Source organism: Homo sapiens, chromosome 2 (genome assembly GCF_000001405.40).
Source record: "Homo sapiens chromosome 2, GRCh38.p14 Primary Assembly".
NCBI classification, from domain to species: Eukaryota; Metazoa; Chordata; class Mammalia; order Primates; family Hominidae; genus Homo; species Homo sapiens.
The window spans coordinates 30,950,536-30,965,414 of NC_000002.12; the positions used below are offsets into that span (position 1 = coordinate 30,950,536).

At 48.4% G+C, this 14,879-nt stretch overlaps 1 protein-coding gene across 13 annotated transcripts in view; it reads right to left on the reverse strand.

Moving 5' to 3' along the window:
- The window catches only part of GALNT14 (polypeptide N-acetylgalactosaminyltransferase 14), a 251,659-nt gene that overhangs the window by 63,754 nt on the left and 173,026 nt on the right, over positions 1–14,879 (reverse strand). For all 13 annotated transcript variants that reach the window (XR_007081588.1, XR_001738943.2, XR_001738941.2 and 10 more), the window contains 3 exons: positions 7,862–7,929; positions 5,377–5,442; positions 5,083–5,204 (listed from right to left, as the gene is read on the reverse strand). Coding sequence is in view for 8 of the 13 variants with exons in the window: in NM_001329097.2 (NP_001316026.1) it covers positions 5,083–5,204; positions 5,377–5,442; positions 7,862–7,929 (256 nt within the window). In the remaining 5 variants the exon portion in view is untranslated. The remainder of the gene's footprint in view (positions 1–5,082; positions 5,205–5,376; positions 5,443–7,861; positions 7,930–14,879) is intronic.

Here is a 14,879-nt window from a genome sequence, read left to right on the forward strand (position 1 = left end):
AACACAGGCTGACTCACGCCCTCACCCCCTGTCCCCAAAGGGCTGGCCCAGAGGAACTGTTCCAGGTCATTAAAGGAGTCAGAGTCTTAGCAAAAACCTCTGCAGCCCTCAAGGCCACTGCAGACCTGGGAGGGTGAGAGCTGGACCATGGCTCCTGGGTTTGTCTCTTTGCTAACCTCTTTGCTACAAAAGCTTTAGCTCAGGTGGGGCAAGGACCCAGGAGCTTAGCTTAGGAAGAGAAGGAGCGTCGGCAGCAGGCAGACATTGCTCACATTCGGAAACGAAGAGATGAAGGCTTTGCCCGACCAGCAGGTAAGGCTGGCCATGGATGTAGAAAGGAGAGCACTTTTCAGAGAGGGTTTCTGAGATGAACTTGGGACCACTGGGATGGAAAGGGCTTCAGAGGTTCATTAAGTGCCCAAAGAAAGCAAGGCTCCCTTAACACATTCTGCAGGGACAAAATCAGCCTGGGGGTCCCTGCAGGTTAAGCATCAATTTACCATATGAGCCAGCAGCAATTCACATATACACCCCCAAATAATTGAAAACAGAGACTCAAACAAAAACTTGTACACAAATATTTATAACTGCGCTATTCACAAAAGTAAAAAGGTGGAAACAACCCAGGTGTTCATCAATGGTTGGATGGATAAACAAAATGTGGTATACACATGCCATGGAATAGTATTAGCCATGAAAATGAATGCCAATACATGCATTCATACTTGAAACAGTATGCCAATATCCATACAACATGGATAAAGCCCAAAGATATGCTAAGTGAAAGGAACCAGTATCAAAAGGCCACATGTTGTGTGATTCCGTTTATATGAAATGTCCACAACTGGCAAATCCACTGAGACAGAGAGCGGATTAGCAGTGGCCAGGGGCAGGGAGAAGAGGAGAATGAGGAGTGAGTGATTGCCCATGGGTATGAGGTTTCCTTTTGGGGTAATAAAAACTTTTCCTTTTGGGGTGATGAAAACTTTTAAAATTAAGCAGTGGTGATTACACAACCTTGTGAATATACTAAAATCATTCAATTGCCCACTTTCAAAGGTTAAAATGGTAACTTTCATTATATGTATTTTACAACACAACACACAAAACACGCACACACATGCACGCACACGTGCACACATACACACATGCACACTCATATGAAATCAGTTTGGGGGCAGTGGCCATGGGGACTGAGTCCACTGCTGTGACGGCTGCACCCATAGAGGCCTGGGCACAGCTCTGGGCAGAGAGCTCCTGGGTTCAGGTCTGAGTCTTTACCATGACCTCACCTAGCAGCCCCCAATATCCAAAGAGACCTGGGGCCCCAGGAACTTCAGTTCCAGGGTGCATGGTCAGCAAACTGAGAGGGTAAGGGGTCTGGTCAGAGGCAGAGGTCCTGAGGGGTGAACAGCCTGAGGAGGGGACAGAAGTGCCAAGTGTGCACTGCACCGTGCCCTGGACCTCAGCCCCTCATTTCTTTCTGAGATGAACTTCTTGACTGCAAGCGTACACTACAACGCATCTGCCATTCTCTCGGCAAGGAGCAAACTGCCTTAGAAAAGTTGCTCAGAAAATGCTTATGTATAACATTAAGGGAAAAAAGCAGAATACAAAAATCATATAAATACAGTATTATAGTAACTATTTAAAAAAGACACTTTCTGCAAAGGAAAAAGATACTGAATGGAAAGAAAGGTTAACAGTGGATGTCTTTGCATGATAGAATTTTGGTTGATTCTATAAATCATGCTGCTATAAAGACACATGCACACGTATGTTTATTGCGGCATTATTCACAATAGCAAAGACGTGGAACCAACCCAAATGTCCAACAATGATAGACTGGATTAAGAAAATGTGGCACATATACACCATGGAATACTATGCAGCCATAAAAAATGATGAGTTCATGTCCTTTGTAGGGACATGGATGAAATTGGAAATCATCATTCTCAGTAAACTATTGCAAGAACAAAAAACCAAACACCGCATATTCTCACTCATAAGTGGGAATTGAACAATGAGATCACATGGACACAGGAAGGGGAATATCACACTCTGGGGACTGTGGTGGGGTGGGGGGAGGGGGGAGGGATAGCATCGGGAGATATACCTAATGCTAGATGACGAGTTAGTGGGTGCAGCGCACCAGCATGGCACATGTATACATATGTAACTAACCTGCACATTGTGCACATGTACCCTAAAACTTAAAGCATAATAAAAAAAAAAAAAAAGAATTTTGGTTGATTCATTTTCATTCTACCAGTCCATATTTTCCAAAATGTCTGCAATGACCATGGGTTACTGTTGTAATGGAAGATAAGGTAAGTCGCAGCCTACTCCATCCCCTGCCAAGGGGTTTTCCACTATACTGCAGTCCCTGAGTTTGAAATCCACTTTAAAAATATGACCTGAGTTTAAGTAAGGAACACCTTGTCTCTTCTGTATAAAATCCCCTGTAAACAGAGACACTATCTCCAACTCCCACCAGTTTCTTCCCCAGCTAAGTACTCCTAGACTCAGTTCTGATTCTGCAACCTTAACCTTTAGTTTTTGTTTAACATACTCCGGTTTCCTTTTAACTCCAGGCATGAATGGCAGCAGGACGACATAGCTGGCCCTAGGGTAGTGTCAACAACTCACAGGCAGAAAGACATTTTTGGGGAGGTAAAGGTTCCTGCTGCGGAGTAGAGTTCCTCTACTTCTATAACCAGGAGGTGCTCAAATGTTTTCCATATTTCTTCCTCACAAATAATTTCCTTCCTTTTTTTTTTTTTTTTTTTTTGAGAGAGAGTCTTGCTCTGTCGCCCAGGCTGGAGTGCAGTGGCACAATCTCGATTCACTGCAACCACTGCCTCCCTGGTTCAAGCGATTCTCCTGCCTCAGCCTCCCGAGTAGCTGGGACTACAGGTGCGTGCCACCACACTCAGCTAATTTTTTATATTTTTAGTAGAGACAGGGTTTCGCCATGTTGGCCAGGATGGTCTCAATCTCCTGACCTCGAGATCCATCCACCTTGGCCTCCCAAAGTGCTGGGATTATAGGCATGCGCCACCGCACCCAGCCAAATTTCCTTCTTTCTAGAGTTTTTGTGTTGCTTCTACTTGCTGTCACTTATACTGTGCTTCCCTTTACTGGAGGTCATTTGTGAAGCAGTGTGGCACCAGTGCACAAAGAACCCAGCGGACCTTACTAAGCAGGGTATGGATACCTTTTACACAGCCCATTCCAACCCTTGGGACACTGCCCAAAATAGGTGCTCAGGAAACGTCTGTTGATTCATTTACCGGTAGGAAGCAAGCTTGATTTTCTCCTCTTCCAACCATAACACCTCCCCATGGCATCCGGTTTTTTATTATCATTTCTGAACACTGAGCACCTACTCTATGACAGGCAGGGTGGCCACAAGGAGTCATTGGTGCCCCCACTGGATTTGTAAGCTATTAGGGGAGGCAGAGGACTAACCCAGAAGAGGAAATGGTGGGCCAAGGGAGCAATGACTGCCAGTAGTGATCCTAGCTGGCCACGCAGTCAGGAAAGGCTGCCTAGAGGAGGGGAGCCGTGGACGAGGCCCCACAGAGCAAGCGGGTTTGTGGAGAGGAGGGGAAGGGCATCCAGGGACAGGAAGGGCTTGGTCAGAGCTGGAGCAGTGGGAATGTCATGGCATGTCCAGGGACAAGGGGCTGCAGAAGAGAGCATGGAGGGAGGCGTGCATTTGGAAGGGACTTCAGTGCCAGGAGAGGCCCTTCAACATTTCCCAATCCAGACCTCTTTGCCTAGAAGATATCAAAAAAGAGTAGGAGAGGAGATTTTTCTTCTTCCTCTTTTTTGTTTTTGAGACAGAATTTCACTCTTGTTGCCTCAGCTGGAGTGCAATGGTGCGATCTCAGCTCTCTGCAACCTCTGCCTCCTGGGTTCAAGCGATTCTAGAGAGGAGATTTTTCTAAACAACACTAAGTGGAAGACGAGCCATCCCAATCTCAGAGAAAATGGTTACTGATGGGCCTTAACCTCTAGGCCCATGTGACAGAACTTTGTAAACCCACTGAGGTTATCTCATTGGAATGAACAATGTTGGGAAGGATTTCCTTGTTTTCTTCTGAGCAGACGACATAGCTTGATTCTTTAGTCCTCTTAACAATGTCATTATGCAGGTAGGAGTTTAGGAGCTACCATGAAGAGTGAGCAGGAAATAACCACAGCACAGGGAAGATGCTGTTGAGGTAACGCCAGCGTTCTGGTGCTGGTGGTACCAAGTAGAAAACATCAGACCTAGTGATATAATTGCCCTGACTGTTTCCTCTTTAGTGAAGTGGGTATATTAAAAATACCTGACCTCCTACTTCACAGAATGGCTATAGGAGTCAATAACTCAGGAAGAGGAACACAGTACGAATGCTAGTCATTGAATTGATACTGCCATCTGCAATTGCCACACATTCTGTAGATCAGTAGGGAAGTGGATAGACTTCAGGGAATATAAAATAATAAGAAAAATTAAATTTCCTTTCACTTTTTGGGGAGTAATTGAGACACTGGAGGAATGAAGCATCCAGAATTGTAGAGTAATTTAAGGGCAAAGAGGGGCAAGGAATTCAGGTCTCTTAGCATCTAGCCTGCCTGCTTGGTGTAGCCTTTGGGTGAGGGTAGAAGTAAGACAGAGGCCCCAGGAATTAGGGGATGAAGCCTGGTTAAGTTTGCTGCCTCCTTTCTACAAAAGACACCCATAAGGGTTCCCATTCTGGAACCTTCTGCTCTCCGGTAGAACCGGTTCTGGGCAGTTCATTCCTGCCCAGGAAACTGCATATGTTATATCCCAGCTGTCCCAAGTGCAGGCCTGCTATGGGTGACAGTCCCAGTCACAACACATCCCGGTCCTTGCTCCACCACTGACTGCCATGTGACCTCACACAGGCTGCTCTACCTTAGTTCCTTCATCAATAAAATCGGGACTGCGATCTGTTCTGCCCACCTCCCAGAAGAACTGGGGGTTGCACATGTGAAGTAATGAGCTTGAGAGAGAGCCTGGAGAAAGCTGGGGCACGAGGCCCGGCCCTGCTCCTCAGCCTCACTCACCTCTTTGACCCTGTGCAACAGAGGCTGGAGCCAGTCCCTGTTCACCTCACAGTGGCTGTCGAGGAAAGTCAGAGTGGTGCCCTGGGCGATGTCAGCGCCCCGAATCCGGGACCGGACCAGACCTGCAGTCAGGAACAAATGACGAAGTGGGTGCCACTGTCACTCCATTGTCCAGCGAGACCAGGGAGAAGCCACCCAGCATTCCCCACTGATCACCCCAACACACACACACCATCACACCTTCGACCCCCCGACACTCACACTGGAGGCTCCCGCACAACAGCTCAGACCTACCTTGCCGTTCATTATTGCGCAAGCATTTCACCTTGGGCAACTTGATGAGCTGTTTACAGTCATCAGCTGCAAAGACAAAAGGTTAAGCCAATTGAGCGCCCAGGGATGGACCTACGTGTTACAATTGTGTGCACTGCAGGTGAACCTGAAGGGTAGGTGAGGCAGCCCTGTCCACTGTCCCCTAACTGCAGAGTGCAGTCCTGACTCCAGGGTGTTTCCAGGCTATGAGAGGCTGACAGATCACTGCTGTCATACAAGGTGGCCAGTCTAGGGCAAAGAGGCCTCAACTGGGCCACTTTGGAACAGGTCAGTACACAATGGCACCTGTATACTTGCTTGAAAATGTTCCAGGTGGAAAATCTTGGCCTAGTCACCTGGGGACATTTCTCTTTTCTTTTTTGTTATTTTTCTCTTTAAACAATTTTTAATTTAAATTTTTAATCTTTAATTCTTATGGACACATAGTAGATATATATATTTATGGGGCACAGGAAATGTTTTGATCCAGGCATGCAATGTGTAATAATCACATCATGGAGAATGGAGTATCCATCCCCTCAAGCATTTATCCTTGTTATTAATACAAACAATCTCATTTCTCTTTTGTTTGTTTTTGAGACGGAATCTCGCTGTCGCCCAGGTTGGAGTTCAGTGGCGCAATCTCTGCTCACTACAACTTCCACCTCCTGGGTTCAAGTGATTCTCCTGCCTCAGCCTCCCAGATAGCTGGGACCACAGGCATGCACCACAATGCCTGGCTAATTTATGTATTTGTAGTAAAGACAAGGTTTCACCATGTTAACCAGGCTGGTCTCGAACTCCTGACCTCAGATGATCCTCCCGCCTCAGCCTCCCAAAGTGCTAGAATTACAGGCATGAGCCTCTGTGCCCGTTCCCCATTTCTCTTTTCTTATAGGCCATTCAAAGCACTGGTCAATTTAGTAGGTCTGGTAAAAACTGCTGGAAGGCCAAGAATAAATGAGATTTTAGACTTTCCTTTCAGCTCACAGACCTGCTTTTGGAAGGGTCCCACTCAGCATGCCTCCCATTACACAGAGCTGGTTCACTTCTCCACCATACAGGAAACCCCATCCTAAGCATTTGTCCCTGTTACTCCCTGGCTTGCCTGCTGCTCCTCACTCCTTTGGTTCACCAGCTCCCTGGCTCTGAACTCCATATCTTGGCTCCACCATTGTGGTTTTGCTTTATTAGTTTATTGACCTTGGCCTCCCTGCTTGGCTCTGAACTTTAAAGAATAACAGAAAAGACTTACACAGGCTTCTGGGCTAGGTACTGTTCTAAGCACTTCAAATGTGTTAACATGTTTAATCCTTATATAAACCATATATACCATCTCTGTTTTATAACAAGGAAACTGACATGCACCAGGTTGATTATTTGCCCAAGGCACATAGCTAGTGAGTGATTTACAGGTCTAGGATTTGAACCTAGGCAGTCTGGCTCCAGAGTCCATGTTTTAACCACTGCTATTCTGCTTGCAAGTGAATCCAGCAGCACTCTCTTCTCTTGCTTCAGTGCCAGGCTACCCCTCAGCAGGGCCAGTGTCTGCCCACCTCCAAGCTCTTCCTCACTGGGGAAGGGAGAGCCGATCCTCACGTTCCAGAACTCAGAGTCTTGATCTCATTACTCTAGGCCTCATGTACAGCCCACTTCTGCATCACCCCCAGAGGTTCTGAGGCAGCACCAATGGGTAGGGGTTTCCAGCCTTCGTACAGCAGACCGCAGTGTGGGGGTGGCTCCCAATGCCCAGCTTCCAGCCTCAGAACTAGTGGGGGTGGACTCCACTCTGATAGGACCTGGAGCTGTCCACAGTGGTCATTCCATTTCCCTCAGTTCGTCACCAGGAAGAGGGTGTTCTGCTTGGTTATGATTGACTGCACAGAACTGTACCCAGGCTCCTGGGAGGACGGCCTTCAGGTGAGGTGTCGGCACTACCAGTACATTACTTCTGACAATGCTTCAACTATTACTGTACATTTCAAATTTGATGCACAGTGTCTGGTAAGACACACATGTTTTTCTTGGAGAGAGTGGATTTGCTGTGAATTTGGATGAGACTCAGGTTCTTTGATAGGATAACTGGAGGACACAAGGTAGGAAATGAGCAAGAAAAGAATGCGGAAAGGTTGGAAGGCAACCCTCACTGTGTCATGGCCAGGTGACAGGATGTCCCACGGGGTTGGGGAGGTCCCAAAGACAGGGCCCACCTAGACCTCCCAGGAAATGATAGGAAGAGGGCCTTAGCTCAGACTGCAGATTATTGCAGAGAACCCGAGAAATTGTTTTTTGGATATAAAGCTTCTCTCCTTCTGAGCCTAGCCACGGACGCTCAAAGACTTCCGTACCTATTACAAACCTGGGCTTTTCCCCATTCCCAGAAAACCAGTGGACTCACCTCTGCCTGTTACAGAGTGGCTGGGAACAGACATTCGTGTCTAAAGAGCAAGTGAGCAACATGACTTACGGTCATTGCTGAAGTCATCCACTAATATGATTTCCCGGATCAGATGCGTAGGGGTGCGGTTTAATACACTGCAAGATGGAAACAGAAAAAAATCACTGGAACTTCTAGTGGCAAAATATATGTACTAACCCGAGTTTTAAATAGATACCATTGCATTTAAGGAATGAAAAATCAGAGCACCAACGGGCTTGTCCAGTCATATTGCTTATCTGTGAGCCAGGAGGAATGTAATTCTGCCTTCACCATCTTAGTGAATACCTCCACCACCCGCAAAGCCACCCAGACAGAAGCCCAGGAGTTAACCTCGGCAACCCTCCTACTCCCTGAAACCCCACAGCAAATCAGTAAAGACTGGCTGGTTTGACTGGAAAATGTCACTCAAATCACTTTCACTTCTTATATCTCTCCCCTGATTTAACCTCTTCTGTCTAGTTTATAGCCTCAACTTGCCCCAGCCTCTCCCAGGCCATCTTGCTCGTGGTCTCCAGAGCGAACTTTCTGACAAGGAGCTTTGATTGTGTGACTCTCCTCGCCAATGCAAATAAATAAACTGACAGCCCCCCAGGGGCTCCTCACTATTGACATCCCAAATCCTCAGCACATTCCTAAGGCCTTTGCCATCAGAAGCTGGCCCACATTTCCCCACCTCCCATGCCCAGTGCCGCTGTCTGAAGCTGTCCTGCTCATTCATAACTAAGAGCCTCTCTCCTGCTGCTGCCGCTGCTTGAAATGCCCCTGTGCTGCCCACAAGGACCAGTTTGAATGTCACTTCCTCCCTAACAGCTTTCCAAGCCACTACGTGAGAATTAATTGCTTCCTCCTCTGGGATCTCCTAGTAGTTTGTATCTGATCCTATGACTTTTCTCACTTCCCAGCCCTGAAGTTTGGTTTTGTACCTCACCCGCCTGTGGTCCCCTCTGGAGGGAAATATCCCAGGGCAAGACCCTTGACCCATTGCTCTCTTTATTGCCAGAGTCTAGCACAGAGCCTTGGTCCATAACTATTCCCTCGAGGGATATTTACTGAACACCTACTATGTGCTCAGCACTGGGCATATGATGATTCTACCCTCCAGAAGCTTGTGGTATAGCAGCTACTTACTACAAGCTGTGTAATCTCGGGCAAGTTACTTTACTGCTCTGTGCAGCAAAGAATCCCATCTAGAAAACAGGGATAATAGGAGTACTTATTTCACAGTGCAGTTGAGCAAATTAAAGGAGAAAGTGTATAAAAAGCATTTAACATGATATTTGGCACTTTATGATAACAAATGGTTGCAATTTTTTATTATCACTTAATTTGGTGCATCATTAATGATTTTTGAATCTAACTGACTCACTTACCCCTCCTGTGCTGTGGATCTCTATCCAGGGGCAAGGTTAACTCTGTGTCTTAGGTCTGACTGAGATGACTGGATCCTGCTTCTCCTGAACACCCCAAACCACGTGACTACTCAGAAACATGGCTGGGCCACACCAGCTATCACGGGATTCCCTGTGATGTTGGAGAGGGGGTTCAGAATGGGTGCAGGTGGAGGCGCTGTATGCAGCCCTCCTCCCAGGAGGACCCTTCTGAGCCCTGACTGGAGAGCACTACCCCTTCTATGCAGGATGCAGACTCTACTGGAAGAGAACTTAGCCTGGAGCTACCATATTTATGAAGCCTTGATTCTCACCATGGCAACTAGTATCAGATGGAGAGAGGAACCCCAACACAAAGTCGTGAGCTCACTGTCTCTGTCTTCGGGAGCTCATGGTCAGGGAGGGGAAAGAAGGCTGCAGCCTCTGCCAGAGGATGGTGGAATGGGACTGTTCACCATGATCGTCCCAAAGAAAACACATACAAACAACAACCAGCCCTCTAATCAGGGAGGGAAGCAGGAGACAGCGGAAAACCTGCTGGAAGAATAACCCCTAATGAGGTTTGATTACGGCTGTAGCTTCTGCATTCAATTCTGCTAAATCCCTGCCAGCTCTTTGAAATTCAAGAGTTCTCTTCTGCGAACATCAAAAGGTAAATCGCGTGCGGCTCTGCACTGGTTGAACTGAGAGATGATTAGTGAATAAAAAATGTCCAGGGTTTAAAACAGAAAAGAAAAAAAAAAGAAATAGTCAGCAGTGAGTGCTAATTAGACCATTTCGTGGTAACACCTGGCTTGTTTTTGCTTCTCTAATCAGAACAATTGGAGCGATGGCGGAGTCCCCTTAAACATGGCCTGCAGCTGGGAGGGCCTGAGGTGGGCACGTGCTCTGGGTGGTCAGAGGAGAAGGTCAAGTCCAGTCCAAGGGACCTAGCCTGGCCTAGGTGGTCCTCCAGGGCCCTCCCTCATGCACACCCACTCTCATTCCCTCCACCCTGGGAGGGAATGGTTGCTCAGGTCTCCCTCCCTTGCTCTCACCACTGCCTCTACAGCAAAGCAAATCCATTCGTCCAGGCCCAGCAGAGGATAGCTCTTCTCAGCCTCACCCCCACTCCAGCTGCCTTCCCCACACCCTTCCTTTGCCTCAGCATGGGAATAAATGCTCTCCTCACTCTGCCTGGGATTGTTCTAGAACAGAGTCTTCTATATGCAGCTCATCTCTCTGCCAGAGGGCAGGTACACAGGTGGCTTCTACACCTGCTGCACCCTAACTATTGGCCCTCAAGGAGCCCCCAGAGGCCGCAGGGCAGCGTGGGCAGTGTAGGCTCAGAGGCCAGGTGGGCTGCACCACCCACTAACTGTGCAATCCTGAACCAGATAGATGTTGGTTCGCTCCCAGCCTTCATTTCCTCCTGTAATTACATTTTCCTTGTAAAAGCAGGCGATATTAATACTTGACCTACTTCACAGGCTTTTGTGCCTGTGAAATAAGGAAATGTATTTGAAATTGCTTTGTGAACTCCACGGTGCTCTATGCAGGCAGGTTTTATCAAACGCTCCATAAATACCAGTAGAATGAAGACCCAAGGCCGGCTGACAGTTGAGTTTAGTCATTCTGGAGTGAGACTAACTTGGGTTCAAGTACTGTTTCTTTGTATCCACCATTCACTAGCTGGGAGAGCTTCAGTAAGTACTGAACCTTCAGCACTATAATTTCCTCAGCTGTGTGAAAGGAGCTCACCATGCCTGGCACACAGCAGCTGCTCTCTGAATGGTGGTATTGATATTAATAATATTGAAGCTAATAATAGCAATATGCATAACTTTCCCAAGTGGGATCCTGGAGCCAGCAGCATCACCGTCACCTAGATACTTGTTAGAAATGCAAATTCTTGGGCCCCACTCTAGGCTTACTGGGTTAGACTTTCTTTTTTTTTTTTTTGAGATGGAGTTTCACTGTTGTTGCCAAGACTGGAGTGCAATGGCACAATCTCGGCTCACTACAACCTCCGCCTCCCAGGTTCAAGTGATTCTCCTGACTCAGCCTCCCAAGTAGCTGGGATTACAGGCGCCTGCCACCATGCCCAGCTAATTTTTTGGTTTTTTTGTTTTTTTTAGTAGAGACGGGGTTTCACCATGTTAGCCAGGCTGGTCTTGATCTCCTGACATCAGGTGATCTGCACACCTTGGCCTCCCAAAATGTTGGGATTACAGACATGAGCCCCTGTGCCCAGCCTGGGTTAGACTTTCTACAGATGGGGCCCAAGAAACTGTGTTTTAATAAGCCCTCCGGGAGCTTCTGAAGCCTGCTCAAGTTTGAGAGCCCCTGCATTAGAACTCTGCTGTCTGCCAGGGCTGGAGGCTCACAATATACACCTGTTGTCACCGCTCAGGCTCACCATATGCCAGGCACTGCTCCAAGTCCTTTCCCTATCTGAAATTACTTTGTCTTCTCCACAATGATGTCAGGTAGTTATTATTAGCAGTCTCTGTTTTGCAGAAAAGGAAACTGAGGCAGAAAGGCTAACTTGCTTGCTTGTGATCACACACCTGTTAAGGGCAGAGCCATGAAAATCTGGCCCCAGAGTCCAAATTCTTAACCACCTTACTCTGAGAAATGGCTCCCCTAGATCTGGGATATTATAAAAAAGCAACAGTGAGAAGACTCAACACATAAAGGGATCCATTGCCCATGCCTCAGAGCCCCCATGGGAGGGGTGGCGGTGAAGGATGCCCCAAAAGGAAGGTGACAGCGCTGGGTCTCCCATAAACATGCAGACTCACTGCATCAGGAGTCAAGATAAACCACTCTTCAGGGCTTGTTTTCTCTCTAAGTGAGAATGTCCCCTAATTCATCAAGGTCATGCTTCTCTACACCCACCCCATCATCTGTGTGCCCGATTGAGCCTCTACCTGGCTCTGAGTTCCCCACGTGAGCCTGTCTAGTCCCCAGCTAACTCCAGAGCTTAGGGGGCCAGAGGGTCTGGGCAGGGGGGTTGCAAAGAGCCTGACAACAAAGCCTGTCCAGAATTCCAGAAAGTTAACAATGAAAGGTACTTTAGAGAAGATCCCTTTATTGAAGACCTCTGAGACAGGACATGTCCTTCAGTCAGTCCCCTCTCAGTGGCTAGTGATTCATTTGTGCAACAGGATAGAGAGTGAAAGGGAGGTATAGAATCTTAAGGCATGGAAGTTTCTAGAAGTAATCTTTCCTGCCTCCACCCCTAACATTCATTTCTGCCCTGCCTGCTTTTGATATAAGCTCCTGGTTGTCTACACATGCCTCTCAGGTCTCCATTTTGCTGTTTGTGTGTGTCATACTTGGGTCTGAGCTCGGGGCTGGCTGACATCTGAAGTTCCTAGGAGGCAGGAAACAGGCTCTCTCAGCTAAGTCGTCTGGCACGTCATGGGTGTCTTCTGAAAAGTACAGGGCTGATGGGCGCCAAGAACCCTCCCAGAGTGCAGGGTTCCAGGGCCTCAGGGCAGCCCTCCAACAGGCAGGCAGACAGAGGAGCCGCGCTGTACCTCCAGGAAACCCAGGAAAGCTGACGCCTGATGCCTCTGCTCTCAACAAGTGCACCACCTGCCCCACAGGCTCAGGATGAGGCTCCAACTGGAGTGAGAGAAGGAATGTGTTCTGCAGGCCACAAAGCTCAGGATACATTTAACACGGTAATCTTATTAAGTATCATTAATACCACATAGAGGTGGAGGAGCGGCAGGAAGAGGAGAAACATGTCTTAGAGTCTGAGCACAGCAGCTAAGGTACCCTCGAGGACATAAACACTGTTAGGGAGGCCTGGGGGGCCTAGAAGCCCCCATATTACATACACTGTAATGCCCCCAAATGTCTGAGACATTCCCCAGAGGAACGTTTATTGTAGAAATGTGATAGAATTAGAAACATGAAAGATATTTTTATCATCATTTTCTACAGATGTAGTTAATAACATGCCCCAGGGTCACACAGCTAGGAAGTGGTAGGGTTTGGATTTGACTCCAGGTCTTCTGACTCCAAGTGTGGTACCCTTTTAAGTATCCCATAGCCTCCTTTCTTTGATCAAGCATTTATTCCATGCCAGGCACTGTTCTCAGTCCTTTAGCCGAATTAACCCTTAGCAACCCTATGCACTAAGTACGATTAGTATTCTCATTTCCTTGGTTAGGATACTGAGCCATTGGGAGGTTAAGAGATGGATAAGATAAGTCCTTGCCCTAAAGGAGCTCACTGAAGGTTACATGCTGAAAAAATGCAGCAAGTACTGGAGTAGTGATATGTAGAGAAGGGCCCAGAGGAAGCCCCTGATGGGGTGCATGTGTGTGATGGTGTCAGGGGATGGAGGCACCCAGCATCAGAGAGCTTCTTGCAGGATGGGCAGGGAGAGGCCAGCCTGGAAAGCGAGGGGCCTCTCTCAGGTGCTAACGCTGTTCTCATGGAAACATCTGGCAGGCATGCCCAGTCATGACCGGTGGAGCAGCCACCATGGCGGTGGGGAAGGCAGAGGTTGCAGTTGGTCTGCTCCATGAACCCCCCCTGGTGCCCCAGCACATCACAACGGCAGGGCTGTGGTCTGGCACTTCAGAACCAGCCACCTCCACCTCCCTGTGTGTCCTCTCAGCCTGGATGCCCCAGACGCTCCTCCCCTCACCACAGGAGACCCAGGAGAATTGGGCCTCCTCCATCCCTGTTGTCCCCACACTTAACCAGCCAGGCGCTTTGTTATCGTTAATCTACCCCGAGACTCCCGGTGACACCTGACAGTGACTTGGCACATTTTCTTGTCAAGAGCTATTGCCTGGTTGGGAAATCAAATTTGAATCAGGTGGCTCTTGGGGTGATTACAGAAGCCAGGATGGGCACGTGGCTGGAGGAAGAAGCCAGCCTGACATTGCCAAGGATGTCTAAACAGCAGACAGGGCTGTCCCCTTGGATGGGTGGAAGCACTGGGCTAAAAACTGTGTGTCTGGGCAGGTCCCTCCCTATGTCTCTAAGGGATGTGGTGACTGTATACAGTGGACATTCATCATTCATGACAGGTGGAGCTGAAGATTTGGTGCCTTCCCTCAGGGTGACCCTACTGCAGGACTTACCTCCCATCACCTGGAACTTCCCACTGCCCACAGCCATGCGGCGGCGGGAGAGACAGGAAAAGTGTAGCCTGCATGATGGAAACAATGAGATTTTGCTGTGTTTCGTGTGCTCTCTGACCCATGTTTCATCATATTTTTTTCTCTGTGGCATCGGCACCAGCTGATGTGCTGCTCAGCAGGACAGGAAGGGTCTAATGAGCCGCGTTTCATGGGGACATGGAGGTACTGGGGGTTCTTGCTCAGCTGCGGGACGTGGCTGTGGCATTCCTGGCCCCGAAGGATGCTGAACACCACCACTGGGACTAGCCTCTCCCTACTCAGGCTGACAAGAAGGAGGACTCTGAGATCAGAGTGCAAGGCCTGGAATCCTGCCTCACTATCACTGGCTAGGCGACACTGGACCTTGATTTAGTATCTCCAATGTCAGTTTCCTCAGCTGTGAAGTGGGCGTGGCAGTGGCCTCCTCACCTCTGCAGCTGAGGTGCACAGAATATGTGCGCAGAGGAGCTGGAGTGAGGGCGGCTGCTGTCATTGCCATCTGAGAGGTAGATACTGCTGGTGGCCTGA